The 27989-nt window shown below is 47.5% G+C and overlaps 2 protein-coding genes across 9 annotated transcripts in view, besides 1 other annotated feature; both read left to right on the top strand.

The window, feature by feature from the left end:
- The window catches only part of PCSK6 (proprotein convertase subtilisin/kexin type 6), a 185775-nt gene that overhangs the window by 530 nt on the left and 157256 nt on the right, over positions 1-27989 (top strand). The window lies entirely within an intron of this gene.
- Positions 25-27256, top strand: LOC124903566 (uncharacterized). Of its 2 annotated transcripts, none has more exons than XM_047433426.1 (2): positions 25-7764; positions 7797-27256. In XM_047433426.1, exon 2 carries the CDS (start codon positions 9211-9213, stop codon positions 10114-10116), a length of 906 nt encoding a protein of 301 aa, XP_047289382.1. In that variant the 5' UTR covers positions 25-7764; positions 7797-9210; the 3' UTR covers positions 10117-27256. The 2 variants fall into 2 exon arrangements, with proteins under 2 accessions (XP_047289382.1, XP_047289383.1); XM_047433427.1 differs by having other exon boundaries at positions 25-7828; positions 7861-27256.
- Positions 18697-19896: an enhancer, noted in NCBI's record as "MED14-independent group 3 enhancer chr15:102009487-102010686 (GRCh37/hg19 assembly coordinates)". NCBI's record gives its function as "activates an origin of replication core promoter dependent on BRD2, BRD4, P300/CBP and CDK7 cofactors, and independent of MED14, by STARR-seq in HCT116 cells {active_cell/tissue: HCT116}" and the evidence as "EXISTENCE:reporter gene assay evidence [ECO:0000049][PMID:35650434]".

Raw genomic sequence — 27989 nt, 5'->3', positions numbered from 1 at the left:
CTCGGCGGGGTGGGGGGGACTGGGGTCCCGCGTGGGCGCCCACGCAGGTCCGGCGCGCCGACCGCAAGTCCCCCGGCAGTGCCGCCCAACCCCGCGCTCGGAAGTGTGGCCTCAGAAGCCGGGGCGGCGCGGACACCTGCCGGGCTCCGGGGGAGTCTGGGCTGCCTCAGGCGTCGCGCGCCGTCCGCCGCTGGGTCCTGGGCGCCCACCCGGCTCTCCCCCGCGGGGGAGCGGCCCCTCTGCCCTCGACGGGCGGCGCGAGCTCCGGACCCGGTGCGCGCGCCAAGGCGGCCGCGGCCGCTGCTTGGGTGACATGAGCGTGGCCCGGCGTCTCGGGGACTCGCGCTCCCTCGGTGTCCGCGGCTCCCGGGGGTAGATGGCCGGGAGCCTGCACCCTGGAGCCCGGCCGCCGTCGGAGAGGCCTTGGGACAGCGCAGGGCCGGGGGTCCTGGGTTTAAAACCTCTCCAGGAGCGGAGGGAGGGCGCTTTGTGTGGGGGCTTCTGCCGCGGTTCTGATGGCCGAGCGGTGTGACCTTTGGCAAGTCGCTCCCCTGACAAGCTCCTTTGCAGTCAGTGGCAATGTCTACACCGCTGGGTTGTCGGAAAGATCTAATGCTGCGTTGCCACAGAGCCTGGACCGGGGCCTGACCCTCACCGGCCCCCACGGGGCCCTCCCAGCCCCGCAGCCCTCGGCTGTCCCCTCTTCTGTCAGTGAGCAAGCAGGCCACGCCCTGGGCACAAAGGCGGCATTACCCTCAAAGGACCTCCCGGCGGGTCCCTTTTTCCTCTCTCAACCAGCTACCGGGCTGAGGGGCGGTGAGTTGGGGTTGATCCATGTTTATGGCTCCTGGAGAGGCCGTTATTTTGAGGTCACACCAGGGGACCTCTCAGTGCAGTTAACAAATCTACAAACTACACACTCAGAGGGTTAAGTGAAGTGACAGGGAAGCACCGACTCATAACTCTAAACCTTAGTGCCAGGCAGTGTTAAATGTAGTTTCATCGTTATCCGTGGCAGAAGCCAGCAAGGTGTGGTGGCGTCCCTGATTGATAGAAATGACATTAGTTCTGCATCCCAAGCCCCACGTTGATGTACTATTAGGTGTGTGGCTGGAGGGGTGGATTCCACCATTCGAATGAAGGAATCTTCACAAGGCAGGTTCGAGTTTACTGAAAGAATGCTAGCACATCTTTGGAGACCTTTTAAATATATGCATATATATATATAAAATGTTACATATATACACATATACACACATACATATACGCACATGTATATCCATATAGATATTTAGTTTTTTTAACCACTCAAGGCCCTCCAAACATCCTGTGATTTCAGATTTTGCCGTCGGGTAGCACTGACTTCGTTTGTCTCTGTAGTTCTTGACTCTCCCTGGCTGATTGTCCAGGCTGAAGAAGGTGTTCCTCATGTTTGCGTAGTGCCCCTGGCTCCTGCCACACTTCGCTGCTGTGCCCAGGTGGCCCAGCAATTTGTCTTCAGCTAAAAGTGACTCTTAAACTACGCGATAAATTACAAAGTGCCTGGGTTTTGGGATTCTAAAATTAAATGAGCAGAATGGAGCTGAAATTGAGCTGTGAGCTCACACTGCAAGAGAGAGGCAGAGAGGCACAGGTAACTCTCCCCGGAAATTTCTATCTGTGGGAATAAAAATGCCTAACCCTTGGCCATGCCGCCCCTTTGAGACAACCTCTGTCAGGCTCACTGAGTTCTTAGTGCAGTCTGCTCTCCTGGTTTTGCGGATGGGAGAGAAGATTCGCCCCGATGCACACTCCGTACCCAGGATATTCTGGGGAGTTAATCGGGGTCTCCCCAGCTCTGTCTAGTGCAGCCAGCATGAATGCCACGCAGCCCGGTCACTCAGGCATGGTGCTGGCAGTGGCACTGCGGTGACATTCACTAACAGAGATTAGCTGGTTGGGGATAGGAGCTGTCTCAGAGGCTTGTGTGTGATTACTCACGGAGGGCCTATTACTCTTTATTCCAAAACGAGCTTTTCTTTCCCCCCTCTAAGTGCACTGCTAATGTGGAAAAGGCCTGGAGCATTTGAGCCTCTACCCACTCAATAAGAACTCTTTGAAAACCTTATTTGCCTTTTTTTCAGCCAGGAGAATTTGTGACTCATAAATAAGATGTAGATATTATTAGCTTTGACTTACAGATGAGTAAATGGGGGTGAAGTAAGGGAAGGAAGCTGTTTGTGTTCACATGGTACGCATATGTCACCTCTGACAGTTCCATCCCTGCTCATTTGCTTCTGCCGTATTCTCTGTTCTGAGGTCTCCTTTGTGAAACTCTTTCTCCAAGCCCTTAATGGGCAATTAGTGTTATGTTCTGTACTTGCCTGAATCGCAGCCCTGGTTTTCTCCCAGATAGTCGCTGTGCTCAAGGTTCTTGCTTGTTTTACTTTCTTCCATACAACTAATAACTGGATTCAGTTTATTTCACATGGCCCAGAGGTAATTTAGACTGGTGGTTATTCACCTTTCTTGTGTCATGGCTCCCTTTCAGCACCTGATAAAGGCTGTGGATCCTCTCCATTGTAAAATATGCATCACCAGGGACAAGACAAGACAGCCTCTCTTTGTCCCTCTACTCATCAGTCCAGGTAACACCACAGGATTTCAAAGGGAATAAAAATGTGGAAGTGTCCAATGTCATTATCGGCAGATGACATAACTACATGGATAATCCAAAAGAGCCTGGAGATTAACCCCTGGAGCTAATAAGGGAGTTGATCAGCAACAGCCACCTGCATGGCAGCACATCTGAGAAGACGAAAGAAACCATTCTTCATTCTTGCATAAAAGCTGTTAGATACGTTGAAATAGGTCTTTTAAAAAGGTGAGACTTTTATAGAGAAACATAAAATATTTAGAAGAAGGACTGAGAAAAGAAAGTTTAGGCTGGGCATGGTGGCTCATCCCAGCACTTTGGGAGGCTGAGGCAGGCGGATCACCTGAGGTCAGGAGTTCGAGACCAGCCAGACCAACATGGAGAAACCCTGTCTCTACTAAAAATACAAAAATTAGCTGGGCTTGGTGACACATGCCGGTAATCCCAGCTACTTGGGAGGTTGAGGCAGGAAAATAGCTTGAACCTGGGAGGCGGAGGTTGCAGTGAACCGAGACCGCACCATTGCACTCCAGCCTGGGCGACAAGAGTGAAACTCCGTCTCAAAAAAAAAAAAAAAAAAAAAAATTTAAATAAATGGAGAGATGCGTTGTGTTCATGCATGGGAGGGCTGGCTCTCATAGTTGCCCCAATTTAATCTGCAAATTCAATGTAATCTAGTTTAAGCTGTGACAAGATTTAATGTGGAATATGAAATCACACAAATGAATTATAAAATTCATATGGAAGAGTAAGGTCCAGGAATACCTCAGACAACTCTGGGAAAGAAGAGGAGGAGGGGAGTTGTGGTAACGACAGTCCAGCAGTAGAGTCAACTCAAACCCAAGCATGTGTGGGAACTTGTATGTGTGAGCTGAAGAGTTACAAATAGATGGGGAAGGATGGGCTATTTACTAAATGGTGCTGGGAGAACAGGCTCTCCCCATGGAAAAACAATTAGATCCTCACATTACACAACAGTACATTCCAGATGGGATTAAAGACTGTATATAAAACTTTAGAAAGAGCTGCAGTGGAATACCTTTGTCACACCGGGAAAGGAGTCCCTACACAAGTTATGAAAATAAATTTCAAAATGAAGAGACTGATACATTAAGATAAAAATTCTATGTAAACAAAGGCATCCTAACAGAGTTAAAAAGCAAGAATAGACCAGGAAAGTATTTACAATATATAACAAATACATTAGTACACAGATTATTTTGAAAACTATAAATCACTAAGAAAAAAAGATACACGCCAGGTAGAAAAATGGGGAAGTTTATGAATGGAGAAGTCAATGAAGAGAAATCCAAATGACCAGTAAACATAAGAAATGATGCCCAGCTTCACTCAAGTTCGCTGGGGGTTATTGGAGCACTGCAATTTAGGCAACGATGAGATACCATTTCACACCTATTGGATTTCCCGACACGGAAGAGTGTTAGCATCACGTGCTGGCAAGGATATAGAGCAATGGGAACTTTCAGATGCTGCTGGTGGAGATTGGTATCGTTTGGAGAGCAATTTGGCGATACACGGTGAGGCTGGACTTGCTAGTCCACAGCCAGACATATCCTGGAAGAACTCTCCCACGTGTGCACAAAGAGACTTGTATAAGAATGTCCATGCAGGCGTTTTTTTAAATGAAGGAAAACCCACCTTCCCTGAAGTAGAATAGAGAACTAAATCAAAATAGTCACACCATGCAAGACTCTACAGTGGTTAGAAATGAATAAACCAGATCTATATCTACACAGATACATCTCTCAAATAGTGTTGAGAGAGAAAAAAGGCAAATTGTAGGTGTCCAATGTGATCATATTCATGTAAACGTTAAGAAACACACAAAGCAGGCCGGGCGTGGTGGCTCACGCCTGTAATCCCAGCACTTTGGGAGGCAGAGGCGGGTGGATCATCTGAGGTCAGGAGTTCGAGACCAGCCTGGCCAACATGGTGAAACCCTGTCTCTACTAAAAAAATATGAAAATTAGCTGGGCGTGGTGGTGCACGCCTGTAATGCCAGCTACTCAGGAGGCTGAGGCAGGAGAATGGCTTGAACCTGGGAGGTGGAGGTTGCAGTGAGCTGAGATGAACAGGACTGCACTCCAGTCTGGCCGACGAGTAGAGTGAAACTCTGTCTCAAAACAAAAACAAAAACAAGCAAAAACAAAGCACAAAGCAATACTGTATTAATTATGGATGCTTATAGATGTAGTAAAAGTATAAAAGTGTGGGCTGTAAGGATCTGCATCAAATTCTAGTTAGCAATGACCTCCAAGAAGGGAGGGAGGGGAGAGGAACTTCAAACTTTATCTGCAGTGTACTGCTTTACAACACACGCTTATGTGTGTGGGTGTGTGTATGTATAAACATACGTGGATTATATACAAAATTGTGCCTAGACATTTTGTACTTTTTTTCTTTGTATCAGGGTATATTACATGTGGTGATGTGTACAAGTGTGTATATATACACACGTATAATATATAAACACACGTATATTGACGCATATACCTATATACATAGACATATACACAGATACACATAAAACATTGAAGAGAGAAAAAAGAAAAGGGAGATGCACATGGTACACCTACCGCATGGTGCTTCTGGACCATCTGAAGCCCACCGCTGGAGGCAGGTGCCTGCAGGCCCATGTTAAGAAGTCCCTACTTTAGATGTCCAGACTGGGCCGATCCACTTGTCAAGGAAATGGTGACAGAGAAACAGAATGTCTGGCTGCAGGTCGCATGGGCGTTTGGACAGAGCTGGACACGGAGCCCAGGAACCCTTCCCTTCTCCCCTGCTTCTTTCTCCTTCCAGTCACCCTCGCTCTAACCTGTGTGCATTGTCACCTTTGACATTGTGACTCAGAAAAGACAAGTTGCTTGTGTGGAGAGGATGGCAGCAAGGTATTCTCCACATACCAAATCACAACAGCTCAGCGTCTGCTGCTCTTGGAAATGATGTTTATCTTAAGGGTGGTTCTTGGATGCCATGCTTTCCCTTGGGTTTTTGCTTTGCCTGGGGTATTGAGCTAATTTGTTGCTTCTGAGTCTGAACATAAAAAGGCAGGCTGGCTGCCAGGGCCCTAAAAGATCTAAGAGCCTTAAATGATCTTGAACTTGCCTTAAATAGTTTTACTTAAAATAGCTACTGAGCAGGACATACCTGGCCCAGAATTTCAGGTGAGCCTGCACGATTCATTTGTCAGCAGAGGAAAATTGTCATGCTGCAGACAACTTGTTCTTGCAATGAAAAACAAGCCGAAGCCTTAACCAGGTGTTAAAATGATGGGCCAGAACTTGTTCCAGCCACAGCGTCAGGGGTTTGGTAGGGACAAGGGGAGACCCGGAAGAGCAGTCACCTGTGACCTAGTTCTCTGGGATTGGTTTTCGGTCTAAGGCTGTCTTGGTTTTATGCTCTGAGCCAAGCTGGACTGGCTGTGCGCGGCTGGCCTGCGAGAGGTTCTGGGTGTGAACTGAGGGACAGAGGCAAGATGAGGGTTGTGAAGCTCATTGTCTTAACCCTCCTATCTGACGTCTTCACCCGGATGGTGATGCCTTTAAGTGGGCAGGAGTTTAATTGACCGGACTGCCCTCCTGAGTCATTGGAGCTGGTGCGGGGAGTGGTGATCAAAGCCGAGCCAGCTGCCATCTCTGGAGCCAGAAAAGCTCCAGAAGGCAGCATCCAGGGCAGACTCAGAATCAGGACTGAGCAGGTGCAGGGGCAGACTCAGAATCAGGAGCAGACTCAGAATCAGGACTGAGCAGGTGGCTCAGCTGACTGGACCATTAGAAAGGCTTGAGTTTCTCTGGGCGGAAACCAGGGAAGCAAATGAGAAACACGGAGCTGTCGATGGGCTGGGGGAGGCTGGGACACCGCCTGATACTCCTGCCGGCTTTGAGCTTTGGGTGGTGACAGGGACACTCAGGGCTGTCCAGACCCTGTTCTCCAGTGTCCGCCAACTGCATGCCGGCTGGGAACGTCCTGAGCTTTTTTGGATCTCTGAGCCTCTACACAGATTGTGGCATCTAGAAAGTAGTTCCTCTGATCTTCTGCAGCTCAGCCAGGCTGCCGACACCTCTCCTCCTCCTTTCACCCTGCCCTGGGAGGGCTTCCGGGTTGTACTTGCCCTGGGTGGCTGGCCTCCTCCTGGCTCCTGGGACTGGGTCTTGGCCTTGCCACCGACCAGAAGCCCTGGTCTTGCTCCCACCAGCTGATGTTTCTCCTGACTATTGCTCCGAAGGCCCTCACCAGCCCTGCAGGGAGGTGTCACCAGGCCTGGTTAATGGTGATGAGGCCTTAGACCCAGGTACCTTCTGACAAACCAGTGACTGACAGGCCAGGGCCGGACCCCACACCCTCTGACTCACCTTCTACTGCTGTCACCTCGTACCTGCTTCCCAGACAAAGGTAAATCATCAGACAGAAAAGCCTTTCGGCTTCTGCCAGAATGAACAGACAAGAGGCATAGCAACCTCCGGAGACCCCACCAGCCGCCGTTTCTCCCTCTGTCCACCGGGTGCGTGCACATGCGTGTGCGTGAACGCGCACAGACTCAAAGGGCTGCACACCAGCATGGCTCTGTCTCGGGGAATCTGTACTGGCTCCTGCTCATCAGCATTGGAACCACTCACACCTCTCTCTATTGGAGGGAAAAAGAAAAGCCCTCCAGTCCTTCTAGGAAGCCACTCAAACTACACATTTGAGTCACTCACATTTCAGTCACTCAAGCTGCACATTTATCAGCTGGACTAATCATCTTTTGCTGAAACCTCCTCCTCGTGTGGGTCCCTGTCTACAAGAAGAGACCCCTGTCTACCTTAGTGGCAGAGCTGGAGGCCTAGAGGTCACCATCGCCTCCTCCTGCTCCCGTGCTCCCCCAAGCCTGTCTCACTGTCTCCTGAATGGCTCTCAGGCTCCCTGCATTGCCCCTGCCACCGCCCAGCACAGGCTGTGGCCTCTGTGGCCTCTACCTGCCTCAGGGCCTCCTCCTGCCCCACCCCACCGCCTCGAGCCCTGGCTGTAGCTGCAGCTCTGCCCATCCCCCATCTTCATGCTTTTGCTTCCTTTCAGGCTTTGCTTCTGTTGTTCTTCCTGCCCAGAACGGCTTTACCTGTCACCAGGTTCGCCCCTCAGCCTTCCCACCCGTCACCAGGTTCGCCCCTCAGCCTTCCCACCCGTCACCAGGTTCGCCCCTCAGCCTTCCCACCCGTCACCAGATTCGCCCCTCAGCCTTCCAAGTTCTGCTGCACTGTCAGTTCCATCAGCCGACTCACCCCGATTTCCCCAGCCCGCCGGATGTACCCTTCGTCTGGGCCCCCAGGCCCCCTGCCACCTGGACGTTGCCTGCTGGCTTGCCTGTTTCTGACACTGGGCTCTGGGCTTCCTGGGTGAGTCAGCCCAAAGTTAGGCCTCTGGCTGCTCTCTAAGGTTAGTTCCGATTCTGCCACCTCTGTGGTGGCCGGCAGACGTGCGTTCATTTATTCAGCGAGTATTGCTGTGTGCTCTCACTGGCCTGGGCACTTAGAGATAAGAAAATGTGGCCCCTGCCTTGCAAGAGTCTTAAGAGACTCTTGGTTATGAGTCTTTGTGAGGGACCAAGGCCAGGCACCTGCGCTTTGTTTAAGTGTCATTTATTGAACCACCCCCACCATCGCTTTCTCATCCCAATCGTTTGCTTTTTGGAGTCACTCGATAGGCCCTGCCACGTACGTACTTGTACATGAGGACACCCTCTTTGTGATGCTGTAGTTTGCCTCTTGGCCAGGTCAGCTCCACACTGATCTGAGAGCCCTGTGTCCCCTGAAGGCCCCACTAGTGCCCTGGAGGCCCCACTGGTGCCCTGGAGCTCACTGTGGATGCTTCACACCCTGCGGGTCCCATCATCCCATCAAGCTGTGGTTTTTCCTGATGTCCTTGTGCCTCTGCCCTTTGAGCATCTGGAGGACCCAGCAGCAGGCGCAAGGCCCCCTGTCTAGTCCTGCAAGGAAGGGGGATGAATAGCCATCAGCTGTCAGGAGCCTCACGCTCCATGGGATGGGATCAGCAGCCTAGGGTTCCCATGGCAACCAGCCCATCAATGCCCTCAGTGTCAAGACAGGGGCACCGTGGAAAGGAAGAAAGTCTCATTGTCTTGCCTTGGCTGCTTGGGCATAAACAAGCTGCGCTCCACAGGGCCCCGCAGCCACGCCCGACCTGTGGCTCTGCCCAGCCGCACATGGACCCATTTACTGAATTGGGCTGGGAAGAGGCTGTCACTGTTAGTTCTCTAATCTTCCTCGGGGGCTCTTGTATTTCTGCCACCGGCCAGCATCCATCACTTCTAGAGTCCTTGTTGGGAAAATCCATCTTCTCAGTGAGAGTGGGCAGAAACAGCCCAAATGGAGCAGACTACCGAAGCTCTGAGTGATCAGCCAGACCGCCCTGGGGGGAATCCATCAGTGGGTAATGGCATCACTCACGTTCCTGCAAGGAACCTGGACTTCCAGACTTTCCCGCTTTGGTTTCAAACACCCTGATGACAACTCTCAGACATATCTCCTGTGATCATTTAAGCAGATCACCTTGAGATGACCACTGCTGGGCTTGCCACAGGCGGACAGTCTAAGAAGGTCCTGTCCCCCTTCCTGGACTGTCCCCCTGGGAGGACCCCAGCAGTGGTCACTTACAAGAGCTTCCTTCTTGCCTTCAAAAGGCCCAAGTTCACCTCCCTGATCATTGCCGGACTCTTCCCTGGGTGGAGATCTGGGAAGGTGGTGGAGGGGAAGGGAGGGGCTGCCTCGTGTTGGATAAGGGCCCTCCCACCAGAGGTCAGGCCTGCTGTTCCCTGTCTAGTAGAAGGCTGCATGGAGGTGCTCCTGTGCCCCACACCGTTCTGCTCACCTATCTTGTACCCCGTCCTCCAGATGGGAAACCAGATGTCTCTCTGGATTCCTCCCACCAGCCTCTGCATGCACCGACCACAGCCCTGTCCGACCAGCCTCTGGGTCTTTCTCCCCTGCCACCCAGCCCATGGCCACAGCCGAGGCCGGGCCTGCTCACTCATACTCTCACTGGTGGTGAGTGTCCTGGTGACTGCCTCACTGGCTTCCCTGCCTCCCTTCCAGGCCATTTCCCACACGGCCATCCGTAGGATTCTTCAGAGCCCCACTGCTCTGTGCTCACCCAGAACCCTTCACTTTTACCACACGCATCTTCATGAAGTCCGGGCCTTTGACATTCAGGACACTTTCCATATGCTTTTTCTTTCTTCTGCACCTATCTGTTGCTGTCGTTTTAACCTGGGGGCCCCTTCCTTGTGTGGTCTACCCGGGCCCTGCCCTTCTTTGGCATTAGCCAAAGTGCTGCTTCCTGACCTGCCTGCAGCCCTGTCCTCTCCGAGCTCCACGGAGGGGCTCGGCCATGGCGTGCGGGGTGTCTCTCTCCCCGCTAGACCCTCTGGACCACAGCGTCTCATAGTCTGCGTCTTTACGTGACTCATTTTGCTTCCTGAGGCCCTAGTGCAGTTCCTGGCACTGAGAAGGTTTAGTGAATGAGAAATTGTTAGAATTTTTTATATCAGGACCTGTGATGTCCTGATTCCATTCACCAAAGGCAAATCATCCTTAAGCGTGAGTATGGAGAAAATGCTGACCTTGTTATCTTCACTTCTGCTGAGCTCTAGCAGGTTTGTGAGCAGCAAATATTTGTGATGTTTCTGTATAGTCAAATATCGCTTATGCTTTCCACCCTTTGACATCTCTTGGTACCTTGCTTTTGGGTTCTGTGTTTCCTGGGACTGAGTCTTGCTGAGTGATTCCAGTGTCACCTGCAGGGACTCTGCTCTCAAGGCCAAGGCAGATGTTCAGTCATCTGTGCCACGTGGCTACTCCGAGGCAGAACCGGCAAGTCTGGACACACCTAGCATCCTAGCCTGGTGTTCTCTGAAGCTCAGAACGAGCATCTTGCTCCTTGGTGGGCAGAAGAACAAGAGGAAAGGAAGCCAGAAAAAGAGGACCGGGGAAGCCACAGAAGAGGGAGGGAGGGAAAGTGGGAAGGAGGACTGAGGACAGGAGGCATGGGTGTGTCCTGCGGCCTTGGTGGAGCCTGTCCTGTGGAAGGTTTATTTTCTGTAAAGAAGCAGTCTGGCTCGTGCCTGTACTCAGCCTCTCTGTCCCCACACGTGACTGTCCTTAGAATAGCAACTGGGTCCTCGGATTCCAGTACCCCACCATGACTGCCGCCAGCCACTCCTATGTCAGTCTTGGCTGTCTGCCAGGCACTGCTGATGATTGCCCCCAGAACCGTACTATTAATCCCATTACACAGATGAGCAAACTGAGACCCACAGAGGCTGAGTAACCTGCTATAGTAGTAAGGGTCAGAGCAAGGCTTTCAACCTGGGCAACTTGCATTCCAGGCCTTCCTCATAGACAGAGTCTGTGTCTATTAGGAAAGGCTACAAGGAGCAGGTGGCATGTGAGCCGCCACGGAGCTTGGCTTGGGGCTTTCTAAGTGGCTAGGGCAGAGGGGTGCAGTCCAGGCAGATGGAGGGTTGGGGCAGAAGGGACCTGTGAAGAAGTCCTCCTGTACTATGGGATCCTCCCCTCCTTATCAGGGCTCTGGCCTGGAGCTCAGTTCAAAGGCTTATCTATGCAGGAATGAAGGCAACATTCTTGATGTAGAGTCTAAGAGTCTGAAGGTCAGGGAACCTTTCTTGGATACCCTCCTTTCTGCCTACCAGAACCCTGTGTTTCCTGCCTGCTGGGAGGCAAGTGGAACACAGTAGAACCAGATCCCAAGAGGAGAGAAGAGGCTGGAGGGGGACCCACAGTTGCATAGAGGGTAGCATGGCCTGGTTATAAGACTGTTTACACTACTTGATTCCTCTCAGTATAATACAGAAAGGATATGTGGATACAGAATATTTTTGCAATACAGAAAAGAACAAGAAAACCATAAAAATCACCCATAGTCCCACCACCCCAAAATAATCACTGTTGACACTTTGGGCCATGACTTTTTGTTTTGTGATTCTGTGTCTGAGTGTGTGCGTGCACACTCATATGCAGGTTGAATATCCTGTATCTGAGATGCTTGGGAAAAGAAATGTTTTGGAGTTCCAATTATTTTAGATTTTGAAATATTTGTGTTATGTTCACTTGTTGAGCATCTCTAACCTGAAAATCTGAAATTGGAAATGCTTTGAGTGTCCTGTTGGATTTTGGAGTATTTTAGATTTTCAGGTTAGGGATATTCAACCTGTGTAGGTATGCATGCACACACACACAGACACACAGACACACACACACACGCACACACATATATTCACCAATGTCTTATACAAATAGGATTGTCTACTTTTGCAACTTGTACCTCCCACGTCAATAAGTCTTCTATGGCGTAACTTGTAATGGCTGCTCAGTGTACCTTGGCGTAGCTGGCCCATCATTTGTGTCATTCTTTCCTGACGTTTAGGTCAGTGAGTTCTTTATCACTGCGTGGGGAGGTGGATAGTGCTGCAGCTGCTGTGGAAGGTCAGGACCGTGCAGGGAGGTGGAAGAGGCTCTGCCACTGCGCTGCTTCCCCGCCCCACATGCCCTGGGTCCCTGGTTATGGCGTCTCATCCCACCTACCTGCATCTCCCGTCCGGCATCACCAGCCTTGCAGAGGGTCCACACTTGGTAACATCTGTTCAGTTCAACTCATTAGGATTTTATCGAGCATTTTTATTTAAAAAATTATACATTGCATATAAATTTATAAATTTAGAGTATTATATAAATGCTCCCCCATTGTAAAGAATTCACACAGTGCAGGTGTACAAAGCAAAATCCAAAATCTCCTTCCTCCCCTCATCCGATCCCTGATTTACTCCTTCCCTGAGATGTCACCACTGTTCACACATTAGTATATGTGTCCTGTTTCTGTGCCTTAACAGACAGATACGTGCGCATATACACACAAAAAGAATTTTTGTTGTTTTTTTTTTTTTTAATATAAATGGAATCACACTAAACATGTTTTTTTTTTTGGACCTACCTAGGTTTTCTTCACTAACAGTGGGACGTCTTGGGAATCTTCCCATGCTCGTACATAGAGACCTACCTCATTCTTTTTAAATAGTTTTATGGCATTTTAGAGATGCAACATGTTTTGTTATACCACACCTGTGAATGTTCCTTTGATTTGCCTCCAGTTTTTTTCTGTTATAAGCAGTGTTGCAGTGGTTATCCTTATTCATGACTCTGCACTTGTGAGAATTTCTGTAGGATCCATAAGAACAAAACAAATACTAGTTATAATAATAAATGGTGATTGCTGGCCCTTACTGTGTACCAAGTAACTTTTCATGTGCTTTCCTTGTATTGACTCATTTAATCTTAGAAACTCTATGGGGTAGGTGTTATTATTACCCTCATTTTACAGATGTGGAAACAAAAGCACAGAGAGGTTAAGTAACTTTTTCCCAGTTACACAACTTGTAGGTGCCAGAGCCAAGATTTGAACCCGAATAGTCTGACTCCAGAGAGGGGACCTGCTGAGTCAATGTATGTGTGCAAGTTACATTGTGTTAGATGTTGGCCATGGCTCTCCCAACAGATAGTGCCAGTTGACACTGCCCCCAGAAGTGTGTGTGGGCCCCACCGATTTTGTGTAGTGATGACCAATTGTCATATTTGCCAGTTCTTATAGGTGACAAATGAGATCTGGTGGTTGTTTTAATATGCTTCTTTTCCCTCATTGTTATTCAAGTTAAATGTTGCTTGGCCAGCACAGTGGCTCACACTTGTAGTCCCAGCACTTTGGGAGGCTGAGGCTGGAGGATCATTTCAGCCCAGGAGTTCGAGACCAGCCTGGGCAAGATGGCAAGTTCCTGACTCTACAAAAAAAAAAAAAAAAAAATTAGCCAAGTGTGGTGGTGTACGCCTGTGGTCCCAGCTACTGGGGAGGATGAGGTGGGAGAATTCCTTGAGCCCAGGAGGTTGAGGAGTCAGTGAGCCAAGACCACATCACCGCACTCCAGCCTGGACGACAGAGCGAGACCCTGTCTCAAAATAAATGAGTAAATAAAGTTAAGTGTCTCTTTATTTATTAGGCATTTTAATCCTTCTCTGAATTGCTTATTTATATTCTTTGCCCATTTTTTCAGTGGGGCTGTTTGTCTTTTAATGATTGCTTTCTCTGTGTTGTAGATATTCATCCCTTGTTTTTAAGTACGTTGCTTTTCATTGAACACTGTTCAGAGTGTTTGTTGGCTTTGCCTGTTGTTGTTTGAAGTAAAATCTGCAGCACCATTTGTTTGCCAGGCTTTGGGCTCGTCACTCAGTGTAATTCAGAGATGAGTAAGACAAAGTCCCCACCTAAAATAGACAGCACGTAACTCTTGCGAGAGGAGTAGTGAACGGAATATAGGGGCGGAGTCCAAATGTTTTAGGATAAGTGAGGAGAATGGGGCAGCCTCTCAACTGGGGATTCAGGGAAGCCTTTGTGACCAGTGGCGCTAGGGCCAGACCTGGAGGGGTCCATAGAATGTTCACAGAGGAATGGGAAGTGGGGGTGTGTTTGGGCAGATGGATCGTGAGTGCTTTAATCTGCATCCCATCCGAAAACAACTCACCTTCAATGACCCACTGGAAAAGAGTCTCATGAAGAGGCTACTTACAGGGTGTGCATGGGGACAAGGGAACCAACAGAGGGTGTTGAGGTACCCGGGGACTGGGTAGGCAGTGGTGGGGAGCTGCTGCAGGGATGGAGGCAAAACAGTGTTAGCAGATCCTGTGGGAGCTGGAGCTGAGTAGGGTGCAGCCTCCTTCTGGTGCCTCCATTGGCCTGGGCAGTATTGCCTGGAGGGCTTAGTCTTCTGCAGCACTGAGCAGGGCAGAGAATGGTGGAGAGTGGGTCAGAGGTGTCAGGGGAGGTGGAGGGAGAAAAATCAGCTCAGTAAGGATAAAAGCAGAGATAGAAGTTCCAGATGTGTGAAGGCCTCAGCAATCCTCGATGCCATTAGAGGGTAGGGGGGTTCATTTGCTGCTGGTTTTACTTAGCAAACATTTATTGGATGCTGGCTCAAAGCCTGGCCCCGGACGAGGTGCTAAGTTATAAAGATGGGTCAGGCAGGCTGCGCACCCCAGTGATCACCGCCGTGGCGCCAGTTTTAGCTTTCCACGTGTCCTCTCCGAGGGTCACAGCAGAGGCCTGTGGTTTTATGTCTGTTAGACCCCATGTACCTGGATCTGTGCCTCCTTGTCCCAGTTGGAGTTTATTTAGGTGTGTCTGTCTGAGGACAGATTTTAACATGGAAAAATAAGTCCATTTTTGGCCGCCATTGAATTCAGTCTAACATACATCTTGATCTTCTGCTGTTTTTTTCCAACTTAAACAAACAAACAGAAATCCCAATTTGTGTTCCTCTTGATAAAGCCCAATTTCTATAGAAAGAAAAGAAACCTTATTGCTGTCCTATCAAAGTAACCATTTATGACTGAGCTCATTAACAGTCTTATACACGGTTCTGTTTCTCATTTGCAGGAATATGATGCCGTTAGCCAAGAACAAGAAGTTAGATTTGTTTCAGAGGCTTAGACAACTTTATGTATCATGACTTTGATAATCTAAGACCCTCACAACCATTCATTCATTCATTCATTCATTATTTATTTATTTATTTACTTATTTATTTGAGACATGAGTCTCACTCTGTCACTCAGGGTGGAGTGCAATGGTGCGATCTCAGCTTACCGCAACCTCTGCCTCCCAGGTTCAAGGAATTCTGCCTCAGCCTCTCTATTAGCTAGGATTACAGGCGCACGCCACCACCTCCAGCTAATTTTTATATTTTTAATAGAGATGGGGTTTCACCATGTTGGCCAGGCTGGTCTTGAACTCCTGACCTCAGGTGATCCACCCACCTCGGCCTACAACCATTCATTTTAGCACAAGATGCAAAAGCCTGTCTGTGGGAATAGATGCTTTCTCTTCCCCATGGAGTTCTGTGAACTCATTAGTACTTTCTAGGATTTTTGTTTGCTTGCCTGCTTTTTCAAGGAATTTGCTATTCTACCTTGTTCTGATATTTGGTCAAATCAGAAAACGTTAGAAAACCAAATTGATTCTTTCTTACACTAAATAATCTTAAAATCCAAATGAAGGCTAGGCATGGTGGCTTATGCTTGTAATCCCAACACTTTGGGAGGCCGAGGTGGGAGGATCCTCTGAGCCCAGAAGTTCGAGGCTGTAGTGAGCTATGATCATGCCACTGTACTCCAGCCTGGATGACAGAGTGAGACACTGTCTCTACAAAAAATAAAAAAATTAGCCAGTCATGGTGGCATGTGCCTATAGTCCCAGCTACTCAGGAGGCTGAGGCCAGAGGATTGCTTGAGCCTGGGAGGTCAGGGCTATGCAGTGAGCTATGATCATGCCACTGCACTCCAGCCTGGGTGACAGAGCGAGACTCTGTCTCTAGAAAAGAAAAGAAAACAAAACAAAAACCAATCCAAATGAAACCTCAGAGGTAGGTATGGACACATTAGCTCTGGGAGACTGTCAATACAAGGCTCACATTGAGGGACCAGAACTAACAGACCCACACTATCACAAGCCAGGTCTTAACAGCCTTCCTTTTCCAACCAGGGAAGGGCAGCTCTCAAACCTAACCAGAGGATCTTTCCACTTTCTCTTTTGATTGTTACTCATAAAGAGCCCTGGATGTATTTTCTATTTTCTTCTGTCAAAAGTTCAATGGCTACAGAGAACTATAGAAAATCCTGTCTTAACCCAATTTATTTTCTTATTCCAAGTTGGTTCTACTTTCCAGCAATTGGTTCCTTTCCTGGAGGTAGTTGCTTTGTGCTTGGTGTGTGCTGATGGCTGTGCCAGCCTGGGCATCTCATCATGCCAGGGAGCTGCTCAGCCTCCTCCCTGGTCTCTCCTGAAAACTGACCTCCTCAGTGGAGTCTCAGTGACCAGGCGCCACCATTGAGAGATCCTTTTGTCTCTCCAAGGTTGAGGGAACCTGTTTGTGCACTTGCCACTGTCATTCTCCCCACAGCGTCAGTTTTGTTTGAATCGTGCTGTCAGGTTGCATGAATTAGATTGCAAGTCTCGAGCTTGGGCCATGTTTCTGCATGCACCGTGGGTGTGAAACTGATGCCTGGCAGATTGTCCCATCGTTAGAAACACTGGACAGAGCCGGAAGGGAGCAGCCATGCTGCCCAACCCGTTTTCAATGCCATGACTTTGTCCTGAGGCCTCTTCAGGGAGCTGTGTTAACGTTGAGCCCAGTTTGATTTCTGCGTCGGCCCCTTCATAGCAGAAGACGACCTGCTGACTGCTGTGGCCAGGCCACCTGGCCGTGGGGCTTTGAGGAGAGACTCAAGCCAACAAGTGCCGTCAGTCAGAGCATGTCTCTGGTCTGCCTGTGTCCCCTTGCTGGGTTCTCAGCAATCTGGGGCGATGCCTCCGTTCGATTTTTTTTTCCTCAGAGGATTATGGAGTTTTCTGGGTCATTTAGCTTTTTTTTATCACAATTTCGTGTTTCTTAGGTCCATCCATAGGAGAATGGAAAAACAAATGTGATACATTCATTCAGTGAGCACTCTTTTATTCAGCAATAGAAAGGAACAGACAACCAGCATGCATAACAACGTGCATGTGTCTCATAGACAGGCCAAGTGAAAGAAACCTTACATGAGGGTGCCTGACTCCATTCAGAGGAGGTTCTAGAACTGGCAAAACCAAATGTGGGGGCATGAAAGCTGGAGGTTGACCGGGAAGGCACATGCGAGACTTTCTGGAGTGATGGCTGTCTTCTGAATCTCAGTAGGGGTTTGAGTTATACAAGTGTGTACATTTATCCAAACTCAACAAATGTGTAATTTACTTTTGCTTGTTTCATCATATCTAAATTTTATCTCAAAAGAAATAAATCTATAAGCAAATAATGATGTGTATGTTGAAGTCTTTAGGGAGATGTATGTTGTGTACTGATACTGCAGTTTACTTTGGAATGCACCAAAAATAAGATGTGTTGACAAATGGATAGAAGGATGGATGGATGGAGAGAAGTTTGATCAAGTGATTTTAGTGAATATGTTAATGGTAGAATCAAGGTAATGGGCATATGGATGTCTGCCATACAATTCATTCAACATTGGTGCATGTTTGAAAAATTTCATAGCAAGATGTTGGGAGAAAGGTATTTTTGTGGACGTGGGAGAGACCCCATGTTGTCTTTGAAGACATAATCATAAATTTATGTTTAGAGATGAGGATTAGAAGCCTTTCTAGGGATTTAGTAGGGCAAATGATGTCATCAAAGAAATCTCCTGGAATCTGGGTTCAGGGGCATTTGCTTTTGTAGAGGATGTTCTGGGGCTACACTGGCATCTGAAAGGATTACTGTGGCTCTCTGAGCCACTAACTTGCTAGGCTTTCCCCAGGCAGAGTTTCAGCCCCAGGGAGAAGCTTCCCAGTAAATGTAAATGAGCAGAGTCCGTGGTTTAAGGACCTTCCTGCGGAGGAGAGAGAAGGAGGAGAGATAAGCCGCAGACACCCCTGGCACGGCAAGGTAGGCTGGGTTGCTTGCCTGCTAATTATCTTCTCGGTCTTGCTCCGCAGTGTTTCTCTAGTTTCAGAATTTGAATTGCTGACTTTGTGTAGAATTTTCAGCCTCTCGAGTTGTTGAATTGAAGGGCAGCACCACAGCCATTCCCTACAGAGTCCTAACGGACAGGCGTCCTATGTCGGAATCCTGATCCTGTGTAACCCCGGGGATGTACCAGGGCAAATGCAGCAAAGACACAGCGGTCAGACTCCTTGTGGGAGAACCCCGGCCTAGGAGAAGCTGCTGGTAAATTTAGGGCACGTTGGAGAAGTGGGGGTGGGGAGAGAAGAGAAGAATGAAAGCATTATTCTAAGGAGCTACTTTTATTTATAGATTCTCCTAATTCTATTAAAATGAATGCCGGAGGGATGTAAAACTTGGAACACATAACACATAATAGAAATGAAAGGACATTAAACTAAAATAGGGAAAAATGGTAAAATGAGAAGAGAATCTTAGTACCAAGAGGAAGATGTGACATTTTTCTGAAATAAAATAATCTTACAGCACAGTGTATGGGGAAAGTGAATTAAATAAAGTAAGGACTTGGTTAGCAGAAAACTTGGAAGGAAACAAAATATTTCATAATGAAAAGGAGAAAGTGTTAAGCTGACTCAAGGGGAAAACACATACAGATATTACACTAATTACATTATAAAGACAGATAAATAAGATGTCATTGTTGTAAAAGGAAATAAAACTAATTAAATGTTTAATGTGCTTTAAGAGACATTGGTGAAATAAAATATATTAACTATGGTAAAATATGTGAACAGGCATAATTCGCCTGCCTTGTTCTGGCAGCCAGCACAGTACCTCACCTCCTGTGTACAAAACAAGGGACGTTTGATCCCTGAGTTGGAATGGTTCAGCTCTTTCTTCAAAAAAAATGGCAGTTAGAAGCACCTCCAACAACTGAATGTTTGCAATAATGCCAGTCCCGAAGTGAGCACTCAGCGCGTGTTGTTGCCAGTCATATTGATATCATCACGGCGATTATCATTAGCACTGGATGAGAGAGAAACAGCACGTCCTTCCAGCGTCAGGCCTTGGAGTCAGACTAGGAAAGCACTATTTTTAAAGTAGGAATTTAAAGCTAGTAAAAAGTGTCACGGAGAAGATTTCAGATCCACTGTTTCTTTTACCTTTTGTGTTGGCCGATTTGAAAAGCTTAGGATGGAAAAGGCAGAAGTTAAGCCAAACTAGGAGACAAACTGCTGAGCCATGATTCAGCAGCTGGGACATTTCCAGCCTGCACACCGTCCTCACCGGCTCCCAGCGAGGCACCCGGCTCTAGCCGCTCCATTCAGCAGCGTGTGGACACCCCTGCTCAGTCCTTCGCCTGCCTGGCATGTTCTTCGGGGCTCGTGCCCACCACCACTGACGCAAAAGAGGACCCTCTTGCCTGAAATTAATTAACTAAGGATTCTCTCTTAAAGATGAAAGAAAATAAAACTTGGGGTTAAGATGACAGACGGAGGGTCTCTCGGCACTTCACCCATGTCGGCATCTTGGAGCCAGCGTAGAAGCTTATGAAGGAATGGTTTCTCGCCTGCACACAGTCACGCAGGGCATGTAGCAGCTCTCTACACACGTGCATTTGCCTGTAAACTACAAATGCTCACTGTCTTCATTCCCAAGAGACTGAAGTGCCTGGAGAGGCTGGATTATTATCCTCTCCCCCAGCTTTTCTTGCTCTGGGCATCACTTGGGATGGATTGTACAGAAAACTGACCATCTTAATTAAATGAGCAGGAGTTGTAAGGCTCTTCTAGAATGGGAGGGCAAAGGTGGGAGTGTTTTTTCTCCCTGTAATAGTCAAATTTCCCCAGAATGCCTAAAAAAACACGTGTTTCTCATAGCGCTATTTTGATCTAGTAGTTCTTGCAAAAAGAGCTAGTGACAAAATGAGAACTTTGAGATCAGAAGAGCTGGGTACGAATCCCAGCACTTTCGACGACACCTTGATCAACAGCTGGGGACCTCTGACATCCTTGAATGTCAAATCATTCACCTGTAAAATATGATTGCAACAATCATTGCCAAAATAGAATTCTATATCCAGCTGTTGTGAGGATTGCAGCATAAACTTAAACCTCCGTGAGACGAGCTGTCATCACTAGTGCAGATGTGAGGTCTGTCTCCTTGCCTGACGGGCACACTCCATGCTGATCCTAGAGAGAGCTGTGCCTTCCTGTGTGGATACCTAACAGCAGTCCATACTGTGACCACTGGCCCAGCATCAAGGACGTGGATGGCCACTCCCAGTTATTAGTACCAACTGCTGTCTCCTTCATGGACATTTTGCCTGGGATGGTTCTTTATTGGATTTTGGAGGAGCCATACAATTCTGGGTGTTTGTGGAGTCCTGGAGTCATGGCCCACCTTCTGACACGAGAGCTGAAATTTGGAAGCATCAGATTTCTGTGATTTTATTTAACCAGTAATCTAAAAGCTCCTGCTGGAAATGGAGAGTTTGCATCCTGCTAAGGAATAATATGCTGGATGTCACCCAATTCCAGAGCATCATCAAACAGTAGCTAGGAATGTATTCAGATGCAAAAAGTAGATGATAGTGGCTTAAACAAAGTGGGGCTCACTGTTTTCACACAGTGAATATGAAGATGGACCATCCAGGGCTGGTGCTGTGACGATGATGATGATGGTGACAATGACAAGGATGACAAACTCTTACTGGGCAAGAAACTGCTCTGAGGGCTTGATCTCATTTACTACTTACTGCTAACCCACAAACTAGGTACTTTCCCTGTCTCCACATCACAGATGAGGAAACTGAGGCACAGAGCATTCAGATGACTTAACCCAATTAGAAATGGCAGAGCCAGAGCTGACACCACACTTTTTTCTCCTTTGTTATTTTTGAAACATGTTTAACATTTAAAATCTATTATTTGACACATATAAAATATTTCCCACAATATATTTGTTGGTTATACAAAGTATAACAATAGAACCTGTGAAGCCACCACCCGTCCAGTGACTAGGCTATTACCAGTATTACCTACGCGTTCCTTGCACCCTACCACCTGCCAGACACCTCCGGCTCCCGCAGGAAGCCACTGTCCGCGTGGCTTGCGTATCTCCGGCGTAGATGTGCTTAGACAACGTGTTGCTTAGCTTTGGTTTTGAGCACTGTGGGAATGATGTACTGTGTGGGGTATTCTGAGACTTGCTTTTCTCCCCCCAGTTTAACATCGTGTTTCTAAGGTTTAGCCACAGTGTGGCTATGGCCCCAGCTTAGCTGTGGTTCTCTTACTTTCACTGCTGTGAACACTACCGTGTTTTTTGGCCAGCACATCTCAATGTATCTGTCCATTCTCCTGGCATGTTTGTAATTCTTTTTTAAGAATTGTTGTTGGCCAGTCGTGGTGGCTCATGCCTGTAATTCCAGCACTTTGGGAGGCTGAGGCAGGTGGATCACCTGAGGTCAGGAGATCGAGACCAGCCTGGCCAACATGGTGAAACCCTGTCTCTACTAAAAATACAAAAAATTAGCTGGGTGTGGTGGTGGGCACTCGTAGTCCCAGCTACTCGGGAGGCTGAGGCAGGAGAATTGCTTGAACTGGGAGGCAGAGGTGGCAGTGAGCCGTGATCGTGCCATTGCACTCCAGCCTGGGCGACAGAGCGAGACTCTGTCTTGAAAAAAAAAAAAAAAGAATTGTTGCTAAGAACAGCCTTATACAAGACCGCTAGTACACAAATGCCAGAGTTTCTTTGGGGTGTGTGCCTAGAATTGGGATTACTGGGTGTACATATACGGCATATGAATCCTTTGTCAGTTAACAGGAGTGGGAAACCGTGTTTCCCAGTTTATGAATTTTTTTTACCTGTATGGGGTGTCTTCTGATTAAACTGGAGAGTTAACTTTTACATAATTGTATATAAAAATTTATTCTCTTTTAATAACAATTCTGTTAAGTTATAATTCACATAGGATGCACCTATCTAGAGCATGCAGCTCAGTGGGTTTTGGTACATTCAGAGAGTTGTACAACTGTCCCCGCACCCCATCTGATAACATTTTCATCACCCCAGAAAGAAATGCTATCCCCGTCTTAGCAGTCAGTCCCCATCTACCCCACTCCCTTAACCCTAAGCAGCCACTCATCTACTCTCCGTCTCTCTAGATTTGCCTATTCTGGACATTTCATATAATGGAATCATACAGTAATAATAGGGTCTTTTTGTATCTGGCTTCTTTGACTTAGCATGTTTTCAAGGTTCATCCATTTTATAACATGTATTAATATGTCATGATTTTTATCACCAGATAACATTCCACTGTAATGAATTGCCCACATTGTGTTTGCTCATTTATCAACCGATGGACATTTAGGTTGTTCCCAGGTTTTTTGCTGTTGTGAATAACGCTGCTGTGGATATTCACGTGCAAGTTGTATGTGGACGTATGTTTTTACCTTTCTAGGGAGCTTATCTAGCTGTGGAGTGGCTGAGTCATATGGCAGCTCTATGTTTACATTTCTGAGAAACTGCCAGGCTGTGGACCCACCCTTCACGGTCTCACCAGCCATGTCTGAGGGTTCCAGTGTCACCACATCCTCATCAGCACTTGTGATGATGCGTCTTTTTTTCTGCACCCATCTCATAGATGGAGTGGTTTGCATTTCCCTTACGGCTAATGACGTTGAACGTATGTTCCTGTGCTTTTTGGTCATTTGTGTCTCTTTTTTAGAGAACCGTCTGCTCAGATTTTTGTTCATGTTTAGTGGGTTTATGTGGCTTTTATTGTTGTATATTCTAGATACGAGTCCTTTATCAGACACGTGACTTGCAGTCATTGTCATCCTTCTCTGGGTTGTCTTTTCACTTTCTTGATGGTGTCCTTTGGAGCACGGACATTGTTTTTTTAATCCACTCTGACATTCTCTGTCTTTTGATTGGTGTGTTGAGACCATTCACATTTAAAGTCCTTGCTGGCGTTGTTGGATCAGTATCTACCGTGTTTGTAACTTTTCTGTTTGTTACATTTGTTCTCCGCACCCCTGCCCCTCCCCAACCCCACTCCTTTCTGCCTTCTCTGGTTTTCATTGAGCCTTTTAGATAATTCCATTTTGTCTCCTTGCTTAATGTGTCGATTATACTTCTCTTAAAATTTTTTTAGTGGTTTCCTTAAAGATTACAATACAGTTCATACTTAACTGATTTAAGTCCACCTTGAAGTAATACCGTGCGGCATCACGTGTAGTTCAGGTGCCTTAGATCATTACCAATGTCCCCCTCACGGCCCCATCTCTTAGGACACCATTGTCTTCCTTCAGTTAGCGCTTCCTCTGTTCTTGTTTAAGAAATCCTTCCTACCCCACAGTCAGAAAGATCTCCTCTAGTGCTAGTCAGTGTCTCAGAAGGCAACAGGTGGCCCCTCTGTCCTCTTCTAATAGCCCTCATCCCGCCAGCTCAGAGCCAGAGTGGAGCCTCAGCCGTTCCTGGGTGTGTCCGCACACTCTGCTCTGGAGCTGGGGAATGACCTCAGGAGGGGCTGAGCTGCACTGGACGTACCATCAGATGGTCCTGTTTCCATGAGCAGAACAAGACGTGCTGTTTCCACCCAGCTCAGGACCTGTGCGTCTCAGTAGCACATCAGGGCTGTAGAATCAGTGCGGGTTTAGGGCCTGTGTTTAGTAGCCAGTGGGAGGTCAGCGTGTGTCCCTGTCCCCAGCACACAGCCGCCTGGCAACAAGTGGCCATGCGAGTCTGGGGAACGTGTGAGGACAGGCTGAGGACAGGCTCACCACACACGCTGATTGCCCCTCGCAGGGCCCTTTCTTAAAGGGTCCCAGCCTCCCCGTCATTGGTCTGGACACTGGATGATGTTGCAAATCCCCACTATGGTTCTGCTCAGCAGACCCAGTAGGTCCCAGCTTCTGTGTGTCAAGCGGCATCTGATCAGGCTTGCCCTCTTTTTCATCTTGGAGCCTCTCCCCAGGTCCTGCGAGTCAAGTACACTGAGTAGCCTCTGTCCCCTTGCTTAGGTGATCACTCTGGTATGCCCGCCGCTGGCCCCTACTACCCAGGATCCCGCAGTTCCCGTGGAGAGTGGGAACCTGGTGCTGTGGGAGCATCCCTTGTCACCGGCGGGATAGAGCGGACAGCCTCCATGGACTTCTTTAGGAGGACGCTGACCCTCCCCCAGGCATTTTCCTAACCCCTTGGTGAGGAGACCAGCTCCAGGCCTCCCCAGGGAGTATAGGCCAGGTGGCTTAACAGGGTGTCACGCAGTAGATCCCTCCAGCCTCCCATTTCCCTGCATTCCCAGCAGACCAGCAGCAGCTACATTTGGGACCTTGTTAGAAATGAAAATCCTTGGACCCCACCACAGCCTGCTCGATCACAGACTCCGGGAGAGGGCCCAACAATCTGGCTTTAATAAACCGTCTGGGGCTGGAGAACCACAGCTCTGCAGGATGTCCCGGAGGTCCAGCATACTGACCTCATCAGCGATTGGTTTTTATTAATTCTAGACTTGGATTAGCCAATCTTGTAGACTATACACACCCCTCGATGTTCAAGGTTCACATTAAATGACCAAATTGTGAGGGAACCACCTTGTCCACACGTGTGGGTACATATGACCTACTTGCATTTCGTCCCGCTTGGAGCCCACCTCCCAGGCTCCTGCCCCCACACAGTGGACATCTCCTTCTGACGCAGTTCCTGTGCCTTGGGGTCTGCCTTGTTTTATGGGCCCAGGTGGCGCAGGATGTGGGTGAGTCTGTGGAGAAAGGGCACCAGCTTGCAAGGCAGCAGCCCCAGGAGCAGCCTGGGAAGGCTTTGTGCAGAGGAGGCCTGTTTCCTCCTACGTGTTGGGAGAGTTGTCTCTGCAGATGGTGGGTGAGAGTTCGCTGCCAAAACCACTGTCTTCCCTGCCCTGCGGACACTTCTTCCTCACCTTCCTAAAACTGTAAGAGACCTGGAGCCGTTGAGCATCAATGACTCTTTGACTCAGGAATCTTAAAAAATCACACCCTGGGGCTACCATGGGGGCCTTCTGGTTCTCCTTGTGTATTACTAGTTGAATGTTTATAGCTTTCAATTTCTTTTTCCCCTTCTATATGCTCTCTAAGGACATAGGAAGAATCTACCTGACCTCACAGCTTTGGTAGGCACTGTTATTGCCACACCCTCTTCTCCCAGTGGGCACCCCACACCCCAACTCCCCGGCACGTTGTTCAGTGGGACTGCCAGTATCATGTATAATCATGAATGCTGTGGATTATCCTTATTCACACACACAGACTCACACCCTCACACCCAGAAAGGCAACTATCCCAGTGCTCCCAGAATAGATGAACAACCGAATCCCAGATTCCCTTCGTGAGGATTTATTTGAAGACCACTTTCAGTAACAATTACTTTATCAGTGGAGGTCTCAGCAGGAAAGATACGGCACATAGTAGAGCACTTTGAGGAAGGTCACTAGACCGGTTCCCAAGGCATGGGCGGAGTTCAGAGAAACCACCAGGAACTGGTAGCAGCAGAATTGTTGCAACGCTTGGCCCCAAAGGAAGAGGGGAGGGAATGTTGATGGCACCTGGAAGGAGAGGTTGTATTGACAAGTCTCCTTGGTAGAGCAGTGATATTCGGGGAGAAACACGGCCAGCCAGAAGTTACCCTGTAGAAGGGGGCAGAGGAGAAAACAAGCCAATTCGACCCTCCTCCCAACCTGCCTCTCTCGTCTCTCCCATTTTCTGTTTCCAAAACCGACCCACAGTCAGAGGGCAAAGGAGCCAACCAGAAGGCCCCTGTGTGTGATTTTTAAGATTCCTGAGTCAAAGAGTCATTGATGCTCAACGGCTCCAGGTCTCTTACAGTTTTAGGAAGGTGAGGAAGAAGTGTCCGCAGGGCAGGGAAGACAGTGGTTTTGGCAGCGAACTCTCACCCACCATCTGCAGAGACAACTCTCCCAACACGGAGGAGGAAACGGCCCTCCTCTGCACAAAGCCTTCCCAGGCTGCTCCTGGGGCTGCTGCCTTGCAAGCTGGTGACCTTTCTCCACAGACTTGGGCCCCCATAGCCATGTGCCTGGGGCTGAAAGCACGGTAGAGGAAACCGGAAAGTGGATTTAGAGGGACAAACAGAAGATATCCAACCCACTCTCAGACGTCCTCCTACAAGTTTTAGTTTTACTTCTCACACTTAAGTATTTAATCTAGCTCAAATTGGTTTTGTGTTTGATGTGAAGTAGGGATTTTATTTTATTTTTTTCTCATATGAATAACCACCTTTTCCCAGCATCATCAGTGGATTAGTTCCTCCTTTCAACACTGATATTCTATCAGTAAATCAAGTTCTGTATTTGCATACAGATTGTCTCCCTTTTCTGTTCCACGAGTTAAACTTGTCTGTCTCTGACCCAGTGCCTCACAGACTTCAGTACTGTATCTTCATAATAAGGCTTGATATGTGGTGGGGCAAGTCTTATTCTTTTTCAGGAGTTTTAGGCTATTCTTGGCCCTTTGTTGTTTCATATTAACTTTGAATCAACTTGACAAGTTCCACAAAACAAAAGCTGTTGGGATTTTGACTGAAATTTTATTTAATATATACATCTATCTATCTAATGTATCTTTATGATATGGGACCTTCCTATCCATGAGCATGGTATCTCTTTATTTAGGTCTCCTTTAAGTATTAGTAAAGTTTGTAAATTCTTATATACACAACTTACACATCTCTGATAAAGGCATAGGTACCTTAAGTGTCTAACAGTTGTTGCTAGTATATAGACGTGCAGTTGATTTTTTAGATTGGTCTCACATCTAGCCACCTTTCAATAAAGTCCCTTATTTCTTCCAATAATTTGTCTATTTTTTATGTAAACCATAGGAAACCATAGATTTGATATGGTTATCTATGTAGATAGTCATATCATCTGTGAATAATTGTAGTTTTGTCTCTCCCTAATCAATCTTTAAGCTAATTATTTATTTATCATGGCTGTTGTTGACTAGAACTTTCAGTATAATGATGAATAAAAGCATTGATTTTGGGCAGTCTTATCTTGTTCTTGATTTTAAAGGGAGTGCTTTCAGGGTTTCCACATTAAGATTGATATTTGCTGTTTGTTTTTTGTAAATGCCTTTTTAACAGGTTAAGAAAGCTTCCTTCTTGTTTTAATTTGCTAAGAGTTTTTAATCATATGGGTTTTGAATTTTATCTAATGCTTTTCCTGTATCTTCTTTATTCTGCTACTGTAAAAATTACAGTTATTGACTTTCTAATGCTAAAATACCCTTGCATTTTTGGAATAAACTCACCATGGTCATGGCAGACTATCTTTCTTCCTCGTTGCTGAATTTGGCTTTCTAATATTTTAGTTAGGAGTTTTGCTTCTATATTCTGGGTAAAGTGGACCTAGAGTTTCCCTTTCTTATACTGTTCTTGTCTGTTTTTAGGATTAAAGTATTCTGGCCTGATAAATTTTTACTTTTTCTGTTCTCTGGAAGAGCTTGTTTAAGACTGGGATGATCTATACCTTGAAATTTTGGTACAGCTTACCTGTGAAACTGTCTAGGCCTGTTCTGTGTGAGAGAGATGGGTGTTTAAGCACTGTTTCAGTTTCTTTAGTGGAAAGTTTGACAAGTCCTGTATTTGTTTTTTAGTTAGTGGTTTCATAAATTACAATTTTCTAGGAATTTTTTAATGTGGTCTGTGTTTTCAGAATTATGAGTGTAACGGCATTGGTAGTGTTTCCTTATTGTTTTTAAACCTCTGCTTGATCTG

The sequence above is a fragment of the Homo sapiens genome, chromosome 15 (assembly GCF_000001405.40).
Source record: "Homo sapiens chromosome 15, GRCh38.p14 Primary Assembly".
Lineage (NCBI taxonomy): Eukaryota > Metazoa > Chordata > Mammalia > Primates > Hominidae > Homo > Homo sapiens.
This window is presented reverse-complemented; position numbering and strand designations above follow the sequence as displayed.

Coding starts and splice junctions, on each gene's coding strand:
- LOC124903566 (XM_047433426.1), top strand. CDS start 9,211: ATGACCACTGCTGGGCTTGCCACAGGCGGACAGTCTAAGAAGGTCCTG.